The sequence below is a fragment of the Homo sapiens genome, chromosome 9 (genome assembly GCF_000001405.40).
Source record: "Homo sapiens chromosome 9, GRCh38.p14 Primary Assembly".
In the NCBI taxonomy this organism is placed as follows: domain Eukaryota; kingdom Metazoa; phylum Chordata; class Mammalia; order Primates; family Hominidae; genus Homo; species Homo sapiens.
Window position 1 is genome coordinate 74,840,684 of NC_000009.12, and position 20,643 is coordinate 74,861,326.

General features: G+C 40.4%; 1 protein-coding gene and 2 pseudogenes across 3 annotated transcripts in view; 2 read left to right on the plus strand and 1 right to left on the minus strand.

The window, feature by feature from the left end:
* The window catches only part of TRPM6 (transient receptor potential cation channel subfamily M member 6), a 165,427-nt gene that overhangs the window by 118,189 nt on the left and 26,595 nt on the right, over positions 1 to 20,643 (minus strand). For all 3 annotated transcript variants that reach the window (NM_017662.5, NM_001177310.2, NM_001177311.2), the window contains exons 2-4: positions 17,986 to 18,065; positions 14,844 to 14,882; positions 1,483 to 1,660 (exon numbers count right to left, since the gene is read on the minus strand). In NM_017662.5, coding sequence (NP_060132.3) covers positions 1,483 to 1,660; positions 14,844 to 14,882; positions 17,986 to 18,065 — 297 coding nt within the window. The remainder of the gene's footprint in view (positions 1 to 1,482; positions 1,661 to 14,843; positions 14,883 to 17,985; positions 18,066 to 20,643) is intronic.
* RNY4P1 (RNY4 pseudogene 1) lies at positions 6,823 to 6,916 on the plus strand (annotated as a pseudogene).
* RNU6-445P (RNA, U6 small nuclear 445, pseudogene) lies at positions 16,994 to 17,093 on the plus strand (annotated as a pseudogene).

Here is a 20,643-nt window from a genome sequence, read left to right on the forward strand (position 1 = left end):
GCACACATCTGTAATCCCAGCTACCCGGGTGACTGAGGCAGGAGAACCGCTTGAGCCCAGGAGGCGGAGGTTGCAGTGAGCTGAGATCATTCATCCACTCACGCCACTGCACTCCAGCCTGGGTGACAGAGCAGGACTCTGTCTCAAAAAAAAAAAAAAAAAGAAAGAAAGAAAAAAAAAGAAAAGAAAAAGAAATATTTCGAACAACTGGCCAAAATCACTATGTCAGCAAACCTTTTCATCAGAAGCTATAACAAATAGGTGAAATGGGATTTTTCATAAATGCTATGGCTTTCTGTTTACTTAATCATTTCACAGATTTGCATAATTTAAATTAAGATTCTAGAGCATGGACATTTAATTTATTGTAAATTTTACCTTCTAATTAAAATTGTAAATTTTACCTTCTAACCATTATCCCTCTGAAAACACTTTTGTTCTGAAACAAATACTTTTCACAAAAACAGTCATCTCTTTAATCGTCAATGTAAGCAAAAGAAAAGATGAGGGAAATCAAAGCCAGCAGGTAGCCCCAGAATCATTTTTTATTTTACCTAATATTGTATTGCACAGCTGGCTTGCTTTTTCCAGCAAATGCAGATCACTCAAAGGATATTGAGATGAATTTGCCTCCCTCAAACTTACACGAACCAACAGCAAGAATAAGCCAGATTTACAGGAAGAAGTAAGGACAATAAGAAACCATGAATTATGAAACAAAACCACAGGCAAAGATCTCCATACATGCAAATAGGAATTAACATATGATCCTCCAGAACATGACAGTAATTTAAAACAATTTCCAATTCATCTTTGAACTTCTTTTTTTTTTTCTTTTTGAGATGAAGTCTTATGCTGTCGCCCAGGCTGGAGTGCAGTGGTGCAATCTTGGCTCACTGCAACCTCTGCCTCCCAGGTTCAAGTGATTCTCCAGCCTCAGCCTCCCAAGTAGCTGGGATTACAGGCCTGTGCCACCATACCAGCTAAATTTTGTATTTTTTAGTAGAGATGGGTTTTCGCCATGTTGGCCAGGCTGGTCTCAAACTCCTGACCTCAGGTGATCCACCTGCCTTGGCCTCCCAGAGTTCTGGGGTTACAGGTGTGAGCCAACGTGCCCAGCCTGAACTTCTTGATACATAATTCCTTTATTCCAAAATTAAAATATTAAAATTTCTGAACATCAGGAACGGTGCAGCTATTGAAAAATGTGAAGGCACAAATACTTCAAACAGGCAGAAACCTGTTAGTAGAAACCCCGTCTCTACTAAAAATACAAAATTAGCCAGGAGTGGTGGCCCATGCCTGTAGTCCCAGCTACTCAGGAGGTTGAGGCAGGAGAATCACTTGAACCCGGGAGGCAGAGGTTGCAGTGCGCCGAGATCGTGCCATTGCACTCCAGCCTGGGCAACAAGAGCAAAACCCCGTCTCGAAAAAAAAAAAAAAAGAAAGAAACCAGCAAAACAATTTGGGTTATTAGCAAACCTTGGCATGATGGGTGTGCTCTCCATCTTGGAAATTAATCGTGCCAAAAGTATCTGTTGGGCTTTTCGTTGTGTGCTTTTCAACAGACCATTGTTCACTTTCTTTACCCTTGGCAGCTGAGATGGTCCAGGAATAATCTATCCCAGCATGGTCTCCAATCAGTCGGCCACAGTAACACCTTAAATTCAAGACCAAAAAAAAACTCAACTTCAAAATAGAAAATAGATGCAATATGTCTACCTTTTTCTAAAGTAATGTATAGATGCCATATACTATTTCTTAAAACTTCACATTAAGGTTTATATTAAATTTCTAACATAGGACTGTCTTCTAAGTTTAGAAACACTATTAGTGGTTCTCTCTCTTGGCTGCACATTAGGATAATTTGGAGAATATTTTTTCTTTAAAGGCAGGAATACCTTGGAGACATTGAAAGTTTGGTTCCAGTCCACTACAATAAAGTGAATATGGCAATAAAGCTAGTCACACAAATAGTTTGGTTTCCTAATGCATATAGTAGTTATGCTGACACTATTAAGTGTATTAAGTGTTCAATAGCATTACGTCTAAAAAACAACGTACATAACTTAATTAAAATAATTTATTGCTAAAAAACGCTACCAACCATCTGAGCCTTCAGTGAGTTGTAATCTATGTGCTGGTGAAGGGTCTTCTCTCAATGTTGATGGTTGCTAACTGATCAGAATGGTGGTTGCTGAAGGTTAAGGTGGCTGGGGCTATGTCTTAAAATAAGACAATGATGAAGTTGGCCACATTGATTAACTCTTCCTTTCACAAAAGATTTCTCTGTAGCATGTGATGCTATTTGATAGCATTTTACCCACAGTAGAACTACTTTCAAAACTGGAGTCAATCTTCTCAAACTCTGCCACTGTTTTATCAACTAGGTTTATGTCATATTCTAAATCCTTTGTTGTCGTTTCTACAATGGTCTATCTTCACCAGTAGATTCCATTTCAATGAACCATTTTCTTTATTCATCCATAAGAAGCACCTCCTCATCTAATCAAGTTTTTTAATGAGATTCAGTCACACCCTTCAAGCTCCAGTTTTAATCGTAGATGTCTTGCTATTTCCAGCACCTTCTACAGTGACTTCCTCCACTGAAGTCTTGAACCCCTCAAAGTCATCCATGAAAGTTGGGATCAGCATCTCTAAAACTCTCATTAATGTTGCATTTTGACCTCCTCCCATGAATCACGAATGTTCTTAATGGCATCTAGAATGGTGAATCCTTTCCAGAAAGTTTTCAGTTTACTTTGTCCAGATCCATCAGAGGAATCACTACCTACAGCAGCTAAAGTCATACCAAATGTATTCCTTAAATAATAAGAGTTGAAGGCCAGGTGCGGTGGCTCACGCCTGTAATCCCAGCACTTTGGGAGGCCGAGGCGGGTGGATCATGAGGTCAGGAGATCGAGACCATCCTGGCTAACGTGGTGAAACCCCGTCTCTACTAAAAAATACAAAAAAAAAAAATTAGCCGGGCATGGTGGCAGGCGCCTGTAATCCCAGCTACTTGGGAGGCTGAGACGGGAAAATGGCATGAACCCAGGAGGTGGAGCTTGCAGTGAGCCGAGATAGTGCCACTGCACTTCAGCCTGGGCGACAAAGCAAGACTCCATCTCAAAAAAAAAAAAAAAAAAAGAGTTGAAATTTAAAGTTATTTCTTGATCCATGGGCTGGGGCTGCAGAATGGATGTTGTGTTAGCAGGCATGAAAACAACATTCATCTCCTTGTAATATTTCCATAAGAGCTCTTGGGTGACCAGGTGTGTGGTCAATGAGCAGAAATATGTTTAAAGGAATCTTTCTTTTTTAAAGCAGTAGATCTCAACAGTGGGCTTAAAATATTCAGTAAACCATACTAAAGACAAATGTACTGAGATTCAGGCTTTGTTGTTCTATTTATAGAGCACAAGTGGAGTACATTTAGCATAATTATTAAGGGACCTAAAATTTTGGCATGGTAAATGAGGGCTGGCTTTAACACAAAGTCACCAGCACAGATACTGATAGACTTGCTCGATCCAAGGTTCCCACAAACCTCCAATTGTCTCCTAACAAGAGAGTCAGCCTGTCCTTTGAAGTTTTGAAGCCAGACATTGACTTCTCTCTAGCTATGAAAGTCTCAGATGGCATCTTCTTCCAACATAAGGCTGTTGGTCTACATTGAAAATCTTTGTTTAGTGTAGGTACCTCATCAATAATCTTAGCTAGATCTTCTAAATAACTTGCTGCAGCTCCTCTGTTAGCATTTATTGCTTCACCCTGAACTTTTATATTACAGAGACTGCTTCTTTCTTTAAACCTCATGAACCAACATCTGCTAGGTTCAAACTTTTCTTTTGAAGCTTTCTCACCTCTCTCAGACTTCATAGAATTGAAAAGAGTTAGGACCTTATTCTGGATTAGTCTTTCATTTAGGGGAATGCTGTGGCTGGTTTGATCTTCCATCCAGACCACTCAAACTTTCTTCATATCAGCAATAAAGTTGTTTCTTTTTTTATCATTTGTGTGTTCACTGGAGTAGCACTTATAATTTCCATCAAGCACCTTTCCTTTGCATTCACAACTTGGCTAACTGTTTGGCACAAGAGGCCTAGCTTTCAACCTATCTCAGCTTTCAACATGCCTTCCTCACTAAGCTTAATTATTTCTAGCTTTTGATTTAAACTGAGATATGCAAGACTCTTTATTTCATTTTGTTTCACTAAGTGGCCATTATAGGATTATTAATTGGCCTAATTTCAACACTGTGGCATCTCAAGGTAGAGGGAGAGAGACAGGATCGGTCAGTGGAATAGTCAGAACATATATAACATTTATCTAATTGGTTTGCCCCATCTTATATGGGTGCAGTTCATGACACTCCAAAACAATTACAATAGTGACATCAAAGATCGCCGATTAAAGATTGTCATAACAGATACAATAATGATAAAATAAAAAAGTTTGAAATATTGCGAGAATTATTAAAATGTGATGCAGAGACAAGAAATGAACATGTGCCACTGGAAAAATGGCACTGACAGACTTGCTTAATGCAAGGTTCCCACAAACCTCCACATTATAAAAAATGCAATATCAGTAAAGCACAATAAAGTAACATACATGAGGTATGCCTGTACTAAAAATCTCTTGCATACTCATGTTCATAGCAGCATTATTCTGAATATCCACAAAGTGGAAGCAACCCAAATGTCCATCGTGGAGAAGTGGACAAACAAAATGTGGTATATAAATACCATGGTATATGATTCAGCCTTAAAAAGGAAGAAAATTCTGACATATGCTATAACATGGAAAAACATTGAAGACATTATGCTAATTAAAAGAAGCCAATCACAAAAAGATAAACAGGCCAAGGGTAGTGGCTCACGCCCGTAATTCCAGCACATTGGGAGGGTGAGGTGGGAGAATCGCTTGAGGCCAAGAGTTCATGACCAGCCTGGGCAACATAGCAAAACCCTGTCTCTACAAAAAAATATAAAAAATTAGCCCTGTGTGGTGGAGCAAGTCTGTAATCTCAGCTACTAGGGAGGCAGGAAAATCACTTGAGCCTGGGAGGCAGAGGCTGCAGTGAGCCGAAATTACATCACTGCACTCCAGCCTGGGCAACAAAGCAAAACTCTGTCTCAAAACAAAACGAAAAGTAAGAATAATTTATCATTTTATGCATTATCTACAACATGTTGAATAAAACTAACAAAAATACAAATGTAGAGGGAAAGAGTTATAATTTAGATGAGTAATAAGAGCCTCTCTGACATTTTGGGATGGATGATTTAAAAAAAATTTACGTAAAAAATAAACAAAAATATCCTCCCTAGGAAATCAATTTGACATCAAGAGAGTTCTTATCTCTTCAAAATGAATATCAAGAAGCAGAGAAAATTTGTCATTTATTATAAATAATTGAGTACAGTTCCTACTGTGACTTTCACCTAACCTTGATTAATCAACAGATAAGTTGATCAGGTAAGTTGATTCTGCTTAGCTGCCTAGATATTAAATTTCTGTTTTCTTTAGATTTCTTGTCAATACAAACAAGTCAATTTATGGCCCAGTACATGAACAGACATTTAAGGCGCAAATTGTTTGCTTCTTTTTTTTCCCTATAATTAAAGCTCATTCTCTTCTTAAAGGGAAATTCATATTTCTACATTTATGTACCTCCTTTGCAAGAACGGCCCTATCATATTATTTTAAAGTTCTTGCTATACCTAATTCTCATTTAAAACAATTATATTGTTTTCTGGTATGAACTTCAGTGACACATTTTATATGAGAATTAGATAGGTATAGCAGGAACTTTAAAAACTGAAAACATTTTTCTTATCGATATTTTAGAATTTTTTTTCTTTTTTTTGTGAAACAGAGTCTCTCTCTCTGTTGCCCAGGCTGGAATGCAGTGTGACATGATCTCTGCTCACTGCCACCTCCACCTCCTGGATTCAAGCAATTCTCCTGCCTCAGCCTCCCAAGTAGCTGGGATTACAGGGGTGTGTCACCACGCCTGGATAACTTGTTTGTATTTTTAGTAGAGACAGGGTTTCACCATGTTGCCCAGGCTGGCCTTGAACTGCTGACCTCAGGTGATCCACCCACTTCGGCCTTCCAACGTGCTGGGATTACAGTCGTGAGCCACTGCTCCCGGCTATTTTACAATATTTTTCTAAAAAGCACACTTTTAAGAAATTATCTTCATCTATTAAAATCTTCAGACTTGGGTTTGTTTACACGTTCCAAAAAGCCTAGTCATCAGTCCTATGAGTCTACAAACCACACATGGCTCCATGCACTAATCCACCATGACATTATTCCTTTGCTACCTTGAGTACACAGACGAGGTGTTCTGCAAGCCAACAATGGTCTTTTCACAATTAGGTGCTGCTATTCACACACCATCAAGTTTTAACTGAAAATGGCTGACAATGTCAAGTACTAGCAAGGACACATTTCCTTTGTAAAAAAATTTTTTTAAATTATTATAACATTCTCACTTTTTAAAATTTTCACTGTTTAGTTTGAGATAAGGTCTTACTCTGTCACCCAGGCTGGAGTGCAGTGGTGTGACCATGGCTCACTGCAGCCTCAACTTCCCGTGCTCAATCAATTCTCCCACCTCAGCCTCCCATGCAGCTGGAATTACAGGCAACGACTATCACGTCCGGCTAATTTGGGGTTTTGCCATGTTGCCCAAGCTGATCTTGAACTCCTGGGCTCCAACAATCCTTCTCCCTCAGTCTCCCAAAGTGCTGGGATTTTTAATCATTATTTTAAGATGTTAATTTGCATTCAATATTGTCAAAGGCAGGCTGCTCTGATGGTAGTAGGTTATCAGAACTTACTAACATTAGTGTCACTAAAGTTGGTATACAACCCCCCACTGCTAAATTTGACTGGCTTTAATATATATATAGTCATATATATAGTCATATGTATAGTCATATACAGTCATATATATAGTCATATATATAGTCATATATAGTCAAAGTCATATATATATAGTCATATATAGTCAAAGACAAAGTATACTCTAAACCATTGTCATTCTTGATTTTAAGACCCATAAGTAACTTTGTGTCTCTGATTAAAGTTATGAAGCCTACACTCAGGAATTCTGAAAAATAGATAAATAATGAAGTTATGAAGCCCGTCTCAAGAAAAAATATATATGTAGCAGTAGTTCTCCCTTACCTTCAGGGCATATGTTCCAAGACCTCCAGCGGGTGCCCAAAACCGCAGATAGTACCAAACCTAATTGCTGTCAATCAGAACAGGTTTCTGTTCATGTCTTCCACCCACAAATGCAACGACTGTTTCATTTTAACTAAGCATTTATCAAAATTATGGCCCTGTGGCCATAATTTTGCAACTGAAGGTACAGCAGTAAAACTGGCATGAATTTCTTTTTCTTTCTTCGCAATTTCATGGATAGAAGATGGATTTGTACCACAGATCTTAGCAACCTCAGCTAACTTTTATTCTTAGCTTATTAAGCTGAGAACTTTCACCTTTTCACTTAAAGAAAGCACTTTATGGCTCTTTGGCATGTCCAAATTGCCTGCATCACTACTCTTGCACTTTGGAGCCATTATGAAGGGTTACTTGGATTCAAGTACTGCAATACCAAGACAGTCAATCAGATAACCCTGACAGCTACTAAGCCACTAACGGGTGGGGAGCGTCTGTAGCATGGCTAGGCTGGACAAAGGAATGATTCGTGTCCTAGGTTGGACAAAGCAAATGGCAAGAGATTTTATCATGCCACTCTGAATGGCACGCAATTTTAAACCCATAAATTGCTTTTTTTCTGGGATTTTCTATTTAATCTTTTTGGCCCATGAGAAACTGAAACAATGGAAGGTAAAATGGCAGAAAAGGTGGGACTACTCCTTCCAAATTTCTAAACCTTCTTTAATTAAAAATTGCATCCTGGTCCACAGTTTTCCTCAACTGCCCTGCCTCCAGCTAGATAGTAATGCCTGCAATGCCCCGCCTGAAAGAGTCAATATTCTTCTTGACAGCTTTTCATTCTAAATTTCTGTGTCTATATTCTGATGCACAATTAATTCCATGGACTACGTAAGGTGCAGTATACATTAGTAAATGTTATATTTAACTTCTATATATCTGCTTATCTGATGACAAATACATACAGTGAGAAGAAAAAAACGTAAAGAAATCTAGACAGGGCCAGAGCTCAATTTCCAAAATGTTCCAAAGAGACAATAGAGACAAATACATTTGAGTACATGGTGGAGAAATGTGGCTAGCTGTTATGGACTGAATTGTTTTCTGACAAAATTCATATGCTGAAGCTCTGACCCCTAATGTGACTGCATTAATTACCTCCTTAAAGTTTAGTTAAATTCAGCAGGGCACGGTGTCTCACGCCTTTCATCCCAGCACTTCGGGAGGCCGAGGTGGGCAGATCACCTGAGGTCAGGAGTTCGAGACCAACCTGGCCAACATGGCGAAACCTCATCTCTACTAAAAATACAAAAAATTAGCCAGGTGTGGTGGCAGGTGCCTGTAATCCCAGCTACTCGGGAGGCTAACACAGGAGAATCGCTTGAACCCAGGAGGCGGAGGTTGCAGTGAACTGAGATTGCACCATTGCACTCCAGCCTGGGAAATAAGAGTGAAACTTCATCTCAAAAAAAAAAAAAAAAAAAAGTTAAGTTAAATTAAGTCATAAGGATGAAGGATTAATTTGATAGAAATGATGTCCTTAGAAGAAGGAGAGATCCCCAGGATGTGTGCACACAGAGAAAAACCATCTGAAGACACAATAAGAAGGTGGCCATCTGCAAGCCAAGGAGAGATCACAAGAGAAACCAACCCTGCAAACAACTTGGTCTTGGATTTCTGACCTCCAGAACTGTGAAAAGTTCATTTCTGTTGTTTAAGCCACCCAGTTTGTGGTATTTTGTTATGGTAGCTCTAGGTGACTAAAATCCTGGCTATAGAACAGTGGATTGTACCTGACAAGCAGGGGAACCAAAAACAAGAGCTGAAGTGCAGGCAGCCTAGGCCATAAACAGGAAGCATCTAGGAAGCGATGTGTCCTGGAGCAAAAGCACTGGACCAGGAGATGGCCAACGTCATGCAAATCTCTACTCTCCCAAAGCCTCTATTTCTTCAACTGCAGTAATGTAAGGATTGGTTGGACAAGGTGGTCTCTAATGCCTTCCATTTCCTTTCATTGTGTAACTGAGAACCTGTAGCAATGCTCAGTGTTGCAGGACCCTGCTCTGAAAGAGGTGATCAGTGGGCTAAGGATACTTATTGTGCATCTGCTGTATTGAGCAGCATATGAAGTAGCACATGGTGAGAAGTTACAGGGGAAACAGAAGTGTCTACAACTTACAATCTCTTCAGAGAACTAGAACAGGGCTGGGCGCAGTGGCTCACGCCTGTAATGCCAGCACTTTGGGAGGCCAAGGCGGGCGGATCACTTGAGGTCAGGCATTCAAGACCAGCCTGGCCAACATGGTAAAACCCCATCTCTACTAAAAATACAAAAATCAGCTGAGCGTGGTGGCACGTGCCTGTAATCTCAGTTACTCAGGAGGCTGAAGCACGAGAATCGCTTGAACCCGGGAAGTGGAAGTTATAGTGAGGCGAGATTGGGCCATTGCGCTCCAGCCTGGGCGACAGAGGGAGACTCTGTCTCAAAAAAAAAGATAACCAGAACAAGCGCAGGTGATGAAAACTTCTGTGTATGTAAAAACCAACGTAAGGCCGGGCGCGGTGGCTCACGCCTGTATTCCCACCACTTTGGGAGGCTGAGGTGGGTGGATCACATGAGGTCGGGAGTTCAAGACCAGCCTGGCCAACATGGTGAAACCCTGTCTCCACTAAAAATACAAAAATTATCCAGGTGTGGTGGCAAGTGCCTGTAATCCCAGCTTCTCGGGAGGCTGAGGAAGGAGAATTGCTTGAACCTAGAAGGCAGAGGTTACTGTGAGCCGAGATCACACCATTGCACTTCACCCTGGGTAACAAGAGCAAAACTTCGTCTCAAAAAAAAACAAAAAAACAAACAAAAAAAAGGCAAAGTAAGAATATTGGGGTTCCATATGGAAAGGTTCTTAATGTAAAGGGAGGCACAGTAATCCCAAATGTACCGAATATACATAATCAGGATCTACTAGTTAGAATGGTGTCATCTGATCATCTTTTGGAACAAGGGTCACCCTTCAAAATGAAGCAGCATCTATTCAAACACAAGACAAATAATGATTCATCTGCCTGGCTTTTTCTACACAAAACATAAATTGAGGTAACCTCATCTGGAGAGATAACTCATTATGCTTTTATAAGGCAGTTCTTTAGTGCAAACCAACGTTCAGCTTAAGTATATTTCTATTCTGATTATCTATTTGATTTGAGTTGACATTTTATTCTTTTTTTTTCTAGTTCATTAAATTGTAGCAAGGTCCCATAGAAGAAACAGACCTCCAAAATTAAAAAATATATATTCATGTTTGTCTCTTTAATTACAACTTTTGAAGTCTCAAAGAACATATCACTAACAAGTACTAAAAGCTCACTTTATATAAATGTCAATTCCAGGAGGGGGGTTAAAAAAAATGTCAATTCCCTCTCAAATTGTTTTATAAATTCAGTAAAATACCCATCACTCAGAGCATTTCACAGCCATGTTAGAAACAAAGAATAAAATAAATTTAAAAAGAAAAAAAAATCAAAATCTCAAAATATTTTTCAGGGAACATGACAAGGTGATTCTAAAATTTATATTAAATCAGCTGGGCACAGTGGTTCACGCCTGTAATCCCAGCACTTTGGGAGGCTGAGGACGGCGGAACATTTAAGGTCGGGAGTTCAAAATCACACTGACCAACATGGTGAAACCCCATCTCTGCTAAAAATACAACAAATTAGCCAGGCGTGGTGGTGGGCGCCTGTAATCCCAGCTACTCGGGAGGCTGAGGCACGAGAATCGCTTGAACCTGGGAGGTGGAGGTTGTGGTGAGCCAAGATTGCGCCACTGCGCTCCAGCTTGGGTGACAGAGCTAGACTTTGTCTCAAAAAAAAAAAAAAAATATATATATATAATACATATATATATAATATATATATTACAGTCACTTATTGACAAGGAGATTTAGGATTATTTTTAAGTATTGCAATATAGTCCAGGTGCGGTGGCTCCCAGCACTTTGGGAGGCCGAGGCAGGAGGATCACTCAAGGCCAGGAGTTCTAGAACAGCCTGGGCAACATAGCAAGAACCCATCTCTATAAAAAATAAAAAACAAAAAAAATCAGCCAGACACAGTGGTACATGCCAGGAGGGGGGTAGCTACTCAGGAGGCTGAAGAGTGGGGATCACTTGAACCCAAGAGTTTGAGGTTGCAATGAGCTATGACTGTACCACCGCACTTCAGCCTGGGAGAAAGAGCAAGACCTTGCTTTTAAAAATTAGAATTTTTTTTTTTAATGATAGTATTGCAATGTAGCGGAACTACTTTTTAAAACATACTATTTTAAAGAAAATGTTTACTTTTTCTTTTTCTTTTTGAGACAGGATCTTGCTGCGTTGCCCAGGCTGAATGTGAACTCCTTGGCTCAAGCTATCCCCCAGCCTCAATCTCCTGAGTAGCTAGGACTACAAGCATGTGCCCACCACACTTAGCTAAAATTTTCTTTCAATAAAAAAAAAAAATTGTATAAATGCATAAAAGTGTCCCGCTCCCGCTCCCTCTCCCGCTCCCTCTCCCGCTCCCCCTCCTCCCTCTCCCTCTCCCTCTCCCTCTCCCTCTCCGTCTCCGTCTCCATGGTCTCCCTCTCCCCCTCTCTCCACGGTCTCCCTCTGATGCCTAGCCAAGGCGGACTGTGCCGCCACCATCTCGGCTCACTGCAACCTCCCTGCCTGATTCTCCTGCCTCAGCCTGCCGAGTGCCTGGGATTGCAGGCGCGCGCCGCCACGCCTGACTGGTTTTTGTATTTTTTGGTGGAGACGGGGTTTCGCAGTGTTGGCCGGACTTGTCTCCAGCTCCTGACCGCGAGTGATCTGCCCGCCTCGGCCTCCCGAGGTGCCGGGATTGCAGACGGAGTCTCGCTCACTCAGTGCTCAATGTTGCCCAGGCTGGAGTGCAGTGGTGTGATCTCGGCTCGCTACAACCTCCACCTCCCAGCCACCTGCTTTGGCCTCCCAAAGTGCCGAGATTGCAGCCTCTGCCCAGCAGCCACCCCGTCTGGGAAGTGAGGAGCATCTCTGCTTGGCCGCCCATCGTCTGGGATGTGAGGAGCCTCTCTGCCTGGCCGCCCAGTCTGGGAAGTGAGGAGCGTCTCTGCCCGGCCCCCCGTCGTCTGAGATGTGGGGAGCGCCTCTGCCCCGCCGCCCCGTCTGGGATGTGAGGAGCGCCTCTGCCCGGCCGCGACCCCGTCTGGGAACTGAGGAGTGTCTCTGCTCGACCGCCACCCCATCTGGGAGGTGAGCAGCGTCTCTGCCCGGCCGCCCCGTCTGAGAAGTGAGAAGCCCCTCCGCCCGGCAGCCGCCCCATCGGGGAAGTGAGGAGCCCCTCCGCCCGGCAGCCGCCCCGTCAGGGAAGTGAGGAGCGTCTCCGCCCGGCAGCCGCCCCATCCGGGAGGTTGGGGGGCGCCTCTGCCCGGCTGCCACCCCGTCTGGGAGGTGTACCCAACAGCTCATTGAGGGCGGGCCATGATGACGATGGCGGTTTTGTCAAATAGAAAAAGGGGGAAATGTGGGGAAAAGGAAGAGAAATCAGATTGTTACCGTGTCTGTGCGGAAATAAGTAGACATAGGAGACTCCATTTTGTTCTGTACTAAGAAAAATTCTTCTGCCTTGGGATGCTGTTAATCTATAACCTTACCCCCAACCCTGTGCTCTCTGAAACATGTGCTGTGTCCACTCAGGGTTAAATGGATTAAGGGCGGTGCAAGATGTGCTTTTTTAAACAGATGCTTGAAGGCAGCATGCTCGTTAAGAGTCATCGCCACTCCCTAATCTCAAGTACCCAGGGACACAAACACTGCGGAAGGCCGCAGGGTCCTCTGCCTAGGAAAACCAGAGACCCTTGTTCACATGTTTATCTGCTGAGCTTCCCTCCACTATTGTCCTATGACCCTGCCAAATCCCCCTCTCCGAGAAACACCCAAGAATGATCAATAAATACTAAAAAAATAAAATAAAATAAAATAAATGCATAAAAGTGTTTTGAAAAGTAAAAACAATTTTTAAAAGATAAATAAAGTATAGGAAACTTACCCTATCAGATATCAAGACATATATTACAAAACTATAATAATGAAACAGAGTGGCATTTGACAAGCATAGAAGTAGATCAAAATACTGAAAAGAAAGCTCAGAAACAAAGCCATAGATGGATGGAAATGTGGTATATAACACAGACAGCATCAGAAATGAGTGAGACTAGGAGAGACTGCTCAGTAACTCGTATTAGGACATTTGGCTCTCCCTATCAAAAAAATAAAACTAGTCTCATCTATGTGCAAAAATGACTAGTTTTTAACCATTTTTAATTTCTGAGAGGTATAAAAGTAGATGCTTTTCCAATATGTTCACGTTAGTTGTCTCTGAAGGTTGTGGGGTTGAGATTTTGGAGGACATTGAGAAGGAGAGTTTCTAAAGAATATAGTAGAAACTAGGTAGAATATATGAGGTCTTTTCTTTTTATTATATTCTTATTTTGCTTTGCATTTTATTAGGTTTATGCAAAATTAATTGTGGTCTTCACCATTACTTTCAGTAGCAAACACCGCAATTACGTTTGCACCAAGCTAAGAGCAAAATTTTAAATAATTACTAAAAGGAAAGAAAAAAATTGAGGAAAAAGTGAGAGGTCAGCCAAGTAGAAATTCTTCCTCCAGCAACCTCCTCCTTCTTCTCGTTCCATATCTGTGGATGCTGGTTTCCTCTCCCCATGATTTGCTAAACTGAGGGTTCCAATTTTTTATTTTATTTTATTTTTTATTTGAGACAGGGTCTCACTCTGCCACCCAGGTGGGAGTGCAGTGGCGTAATCACAGCTCACTGAAGCCTTGACCTCCCAAGTTCAAGCAATCCTCTCACCTCAGCTTTCCAAGTAGCTGAGTATACAGGCACACACCAACAAGTCCCGCTACAATTTTTTGGGTTTTGTTTTTGCTTTTGTACGTCGAGACAGGGTTTTACCATGTTGTCCAAACTGGCCTCAAATCAGAGCTCAAGCAGTCCATCCACCTTGGCCTCCCAGAATCCTGGGATAACAGGTGTGAGTGACTGTGCCTAGTCCCAAATGTTTTTTTCCAAGAATAAATTTAACTTTGGTTCAATCCATTATATAAACTTCAGGCTATGATCAGAATTAAGAAAATTTCATTTCCTTCTACTTACAAAAGAGAAAGGTAAAAACGGTCACATAGTTTAAAATGCAAATCACTGTTAAAATTTGTATTGCACTAAACAGCTTTTTGCCCATAAGCTTAGTATGCATACAAGGCACCTGCAATTCATACATCAATTACAGTCCCGTATGCGCATGCAGCATCTTCATTATCCAAATGTGATCATAAAACTAAAATGTAATGCTTTACAAGTGTTTCCCTTGGTAGAAATTCTTGTCGAAGGCCCTTAGCCAATTTACATGTCTCAGTAATTCAAGTAGTCTATTACGTTCGAATACTCACTCTCCATCAAAAACATCTTTTTAAAACTTCCCTTGGAAAGGTAAATGGCATGCACCATTTACTGAGTACATTCAAGATATGAGGAAACTGTCCCAGTGAATTTTAAATAGGGTGCCTAAAAGCTAAAAGGAATCTTGCTTATCTAAGTCTTACCTGATTAAATTCTGGCAGACTTGGCATACTGGAGTACATCTAAATTAAAGAAATAAAACCTCTGTTAGTTTGTTGGTGTATCTGAAAATACATTTAATGCTTGTACAGTAAATATCTATTATTTTCCATGATCTAGAAATCAAGGTTTGCTGAAATTCATATATCATGTTCCAAATATTCCATTATGGCATTTACCACATATAATTACTGCAGCAACTGTGATCTAATTAATACAACATTCAGTTTAGAACCAAAATACCTCAATTTAAATCTCATTGATTTAACAATTACTCTAAGCCCCAGTTTTTATATCTGAAAATAATATCTGCTTCATAAGGTTATTAAAATAATTATCAGAGATAATAATATGTAATGTGTCTTATGGTACCTGGTAAAGACAGTGTGTACAATAATGGTAGCTACTATTATTATTAAACTATGAAGATAACACAGATTTCTTGAGAATCAAGAAAATAGATATATGTAAACCACTTTAAAACCATAAAGCACTATCAAATAAGGGACATTTGGTATAATTACAAATTATCCTTTATTAATCTTTCTTTTTTATTATTCAGAAGAACCTTATAGATTTAGGGGTTAGCACTGTTGTCATCAGTTATATTTTTGGGCCAGGCACAGTGGCTTATGCCTGTAATCCCAGCACTTTGTGAGGCTGAGGTGAGAGGATTGCTTGAGTTCAGGAGTCCAAGACTAGCCTGGGCAACATAATGAGACCTTGACTCTTATAAAAATTCAAAAAATTAGCCCTGTGTGCTGATATGTGCCTGTGGTCCCAGCTACTTGGGAGGCTAAGATGGGAGGGTTGTTTGAGTCCAGGAGGTCGAGGCTTCAGTAAGCCAAGATCATGCCACTGTACTGCAACGTGGGGGACACAGCAAGATCCTGTCTCAAAATATGTGTGTGTGTGTGTGTGTGTCTGTGTGTGTGTGTGTGTGTGTGAAGAAGTATTAACAGGGAAGTCTAGTTAAAATAATGGAAGAAAAGGTAATGTTCCTAAAATAAGGGCCGCTCTAAGTTATTCAGAAACTAATATTCAGGACTTTTATTTCTTCCTGTCCCAGCCTTTTGGGAATGCCTTTTCTCAGAAGCTTTCCTTCAACAGTAAATTGAAAATGAGAAGGAAAAAGATGTTATAATCAAGTGTATCAGATTTGTTTCTTATTGGGAGCTACAAAAATAATAAAACAAACTTTTATCGATATTTTAAAAAGTGAATTATCACCCACTTCCTGTGCACCAATAATGAAGAAAACTGCAAAAAAGCCTCAATTCTGAGAATTTTACTAGGATCTAAAAAAAAGGCTGGCTAGAAGAAATAGCCATAATCATACCTTAACTTTTATCTACAATCCCACAATATAGAGACAGTTTTTTCACTTGCTAAAAGTACATCATGCCTTGGAACATTCATGGAATTACAATCGTTGATACTCTTCTTGAGTCTATGGGCTAGTAAAAGACTCAGTAATTTCATCACTTTTTTTTTGAGATTCAAGATTATTGTAAAAATGATTTTTTTATTCACAGACACAAAATGAGCCACCTGAATCAACTTGCATTCCATTGCAGTCACCACCACATGATGTCATAAAAAATGAAGGGGAAAAACAAGGTTATCTTGGCATACTATAAACCTTTCTTAAGCAGGTAAAAAGAGAATTTCCAATCACAAGACTTACAAATCATAGGTAATTCAATAAGGGTGGGACTAGTAAATATTTAACAAAGGCAAAGAACACTATTTCAGTCATCTCCAAAGAACTAGAATTTCAAAAACCTTACCTTGCTACCCTTCATAACACATAGTTATGAGTTCTAAACCTTAAAGGCATATAAGGACAAATGCCCAAAAAAATCTAAAAATAGGTTGGTTCCTTTACTTAAAATATTACTCTTCTATTTTCCTTTTAATTAATTTTTCCAAGGGCAATGTCAATCTTAATTTCACAGACCTGATTACCCAGAGGAATTTTCCATAGCCCTTTCTTCCCCTATCTTTCACTAGTTGCTTTTTTGACCTTTGTTTTACAAGTAGAGCTTCCAAAGCATTGTCAAGAACTCAGTAGTCAAACTCAAATTATTCCATTCTGCTACCGATTATCTGCTCAATCCAAAAGCCTATGGGCGCTCACTTCGGTAGCACACATATTAAAATTGGAATGATACAGAGAAGATTAGCATGGCCCCTGCTCAAGGATGACATGCAAATTCATAAAGCATTCCATAAAAATAAAGTCTATGGAAGGAAAACGGAACTGAAATTACCTGTTCATCTAATCTGGGCACAGTGTACTTAAATATACCAGTCACTATTTTCCACAGATACTTTAGTTGGGGATAAGAAACATTCACAATATTTTGAATATTCAGTATTCAGAAAATGTAATTTATTGATTCCAACCCACTGAAATGGATGTAACACTAGATATTTCTGTAACGTCTATCCTCCCATCAAGAGGAACAGAAGAATCAAGTAGAATGAAATCCACGACAATATTAACAGTGACGGCATTAAGAATAACTTCTTTGTACTTCATTAAATTCCTTAAACAGATATTTATCGCTCGGTGGCTCACGCCTGTAATCCCAGCACTTTGGGAGGCCGAGGTGGGTGGATCACGAGGTCAGGAGATTGAGACCATCCTGGCTAACACGGTGAAACCCTGTCTCTACTAAAAATACTAAAATTAGCCGGACGTGGTGGCAGGTGCCTGTAATCCCAGCTACTCGGGAGGTTGAGGCAGGAGAATCACTTGAACCCAGGAGGTGGAGGTTGCAGTGAGCTGAGATTGCGCCACTGCACTCCAGCCTGGAGGACAAGAGCGAGACTTCGTCTCAAAAAAACAAAAACACAGATATTTATCAAGAGCCTACTATGTGGCAGGCACTGTCACAGACACTGGAGTAAGAGTAAGGTAAAAATGGACAAGGTCCCTGTTCTTCCCAGATTTTCTACAATAATCATGTATTATTTTTATAAAGTGAAAGAAATAAACATTGAAAATTCTAACTTTATAGATATGATCAAAACTTCTAAACAAGTCATATTTCTAAGTTTCTATAAATAGTCCATCAGGTAGTGTTGCTTTTAAAAGAAGAAGGTAATTGAAAATTTTACCTGTGAGGATTTTTTGAGCTGGGTATGATTGTGCTACATTCTCTCTTGTCAAATACTCCTTTAATCCAGGATTTCTGGGACTAAAAAGAAAGTGTCATTATTTTATACTCTAATTATGTGACAAAACAATGTAACCATAGTAGTTCCTGCAGGTAAGAAATACTCAAGTATCATGAATGCTAATTAAAATGCCAAGACCAACCCCACACAGGCTAAGCATTTACCAGTTTCTATTACAGATAACATAGGCACAAATAAGCCAAATGTGAACATTAAACGACACGCAAAGTGAATATGCCCATAATCTCACTTTGAGTAACAAAAGCCCTACATGAACAAACCCCTAGCAAGGAAGTAAAGATGTAACTGATATATCCTCTTAAATCTGCCAAAAGTCACTTTTATATCTTGTACCATAATCCTATGGAATAAATACCAAGCTCCCGAAACTTCAAAATTTTTACCCATCAAGTCCCACTTTGGCTAAGATTTCACAGGAAGCTGGAAAGAGTGTCAGAGAAGAGATGTGACTCAGCAAGATTCGATACACATTCTGCAAGCATAGTTTTACCATTGGGTGTGTTGTTTCAGGTTGCACAGCCTAGAACTGTCCCTAAATCCAAGTGAGATGTTGATACTCACTCTTCCTCCTAATAAACTCTCTCCCATTCTACAGAATCCATATCATAGCCAAGCTCCTCCATAAGCTATATTACAAGTCCAGTGGCAGAGGACACTGGATGGACTATACATCCCAGCTACTTGTGAGTAGTTCTAATATAAAAATATTTTGGCTGTAAATGGTATAAGAATACGTGTCCTAGCTGGGCGTGGTGGCTCATGCCTGTAATCCCAACACTTTGGGAGGCCAAGGCGGGTGGACCACTTGAAGTCAGGAGTTCGAGACCAGCCTGGCCATCATGGTGAAACCCCGTCTCTACTAAAAATACAAAAAATTAGCTGGGCATGGTGGCAGGCAACTATAATCCCAGCTACTCAGGAGGCTGAGGCATGAGAATCGCTTGAACCTGGCAGGCAGAGATTGCAGTGAGCCGAGATTGCACCACTGCACTCTGGCCTGGGTGGCAGAGCGAGACTCTGTCTCAAAAAAAAAAAAAAAAGAATATGTGTCCATATTACTTTATACACACATAGATATTAGAACAGAGATGAAAGGAAGGCTTTCTAAAAGGGAGCTTTTTCAAACTCCACGTCAGTGCAGTCCCCACCTCACTCATATCTACTCCCATTCTACTGTGGAAGGAAATGCACTGGGCCAGAAAATATGCTACAAATCCAGCTGTGGTACCTCATTATCACACTATCCTCAAAAAAAGCTCAGTGGATCTTGTCCAACATGCACCAATCCTAAACGTAAGTGTTCATCACTGAACAGAACTGTAGATAATGGAAGTCCAGACTTTTTTAAGTAAAATAGAAAGGAGAAAAACAGAGATTAGTTGATGGGTTCCTGTGTATTTAAATCTTACCTATAAACAAGGAAAACTTCCCAGATCAAGGCCAGAGTCATCTTAAATCATTTTACTCTCTTATTCTTTTTGCATGCTCAGCAGCATTTTCTATGTATTAAAAGACATTCACTAAATTGGCAAAACACTAAAAAACTTGGGAAAACCCAGTCATACAATGTAATTATTTATTTATTTATTTATTTTTATTTTTTTATTTTTTTTGAGACGGAGTCTTGCTCTGTTGCCCAGGCATTCCAGCCTGGCTCACTGCAATCTGGCGCAATCTCGGCTCACTGAAACCACTGCCTCTAGGTTTCAAGCGATTCTCCTGCCTCAGCCTCCTGAGTAGGTGGGATGATAGGCATGCACCAGCATGCCTGGCTAATTTTTGTATTTTTAGTAGCAACAGGGTTTCACCACGTTGGTCAGACTGGTCTCAAACTCCTGAACTCAAGTTGTCTGCTTGCCTTGGCCTCCCAAAGTGCTGGGATAACAGGCATGAGCCACCACACCCAACCCAGAATCACAGAACTTAAAAGGAACTAAATGAACAGGGAATTCAAAATCTATATTTCAATAAGAAATGACACAATCCGGCTGAGCGCAGTGGCCAACACCTGTAATCCCAGCACTTTGTGAGGCCGAGGCAGGTGGATCACTTGAGCCCAGGACTTCCAGACCAGCCTGGGCAACATGGTGAAACCCTGTCTCTACAAAATACAGGAATAAAAACAGCCGTGCATGGTGGCATGTGCCTATAATTCCCAGCAACCCAGAAGGCTGAGGTGGGAGGATTGCTTAAGCCCAAGGAAGTCGAGGCTGCAGTGAGCCATGATTGTGCCACTGCACTCTAGCCTGGGCGACAGAGTGAGACCTTGTCACAAAAAAAAGAAAGAAAGAAAGAAAGAAATGACACTATCTTTTTGAATCAGTCAGCCCTGTCCCCTATTCAAAAACGTTAACAATTTCATTTATTCATTCTCCAAACATTTATTAAATACCTAATTTTTGCAAAGCACTGACAAACATGTTACAAAAAGTCAGTATGTCCTCAAAGAATTCTTCATTCTGAATTTCAAAATACCTGAATCTATGAATTCATTCAACAAATATTTTGAATAGGCCCCCACGCTGCATGCTGGGACTTCTATTGCAAACGAGACAAAGTTCCTGCTCTCAAGGAAGT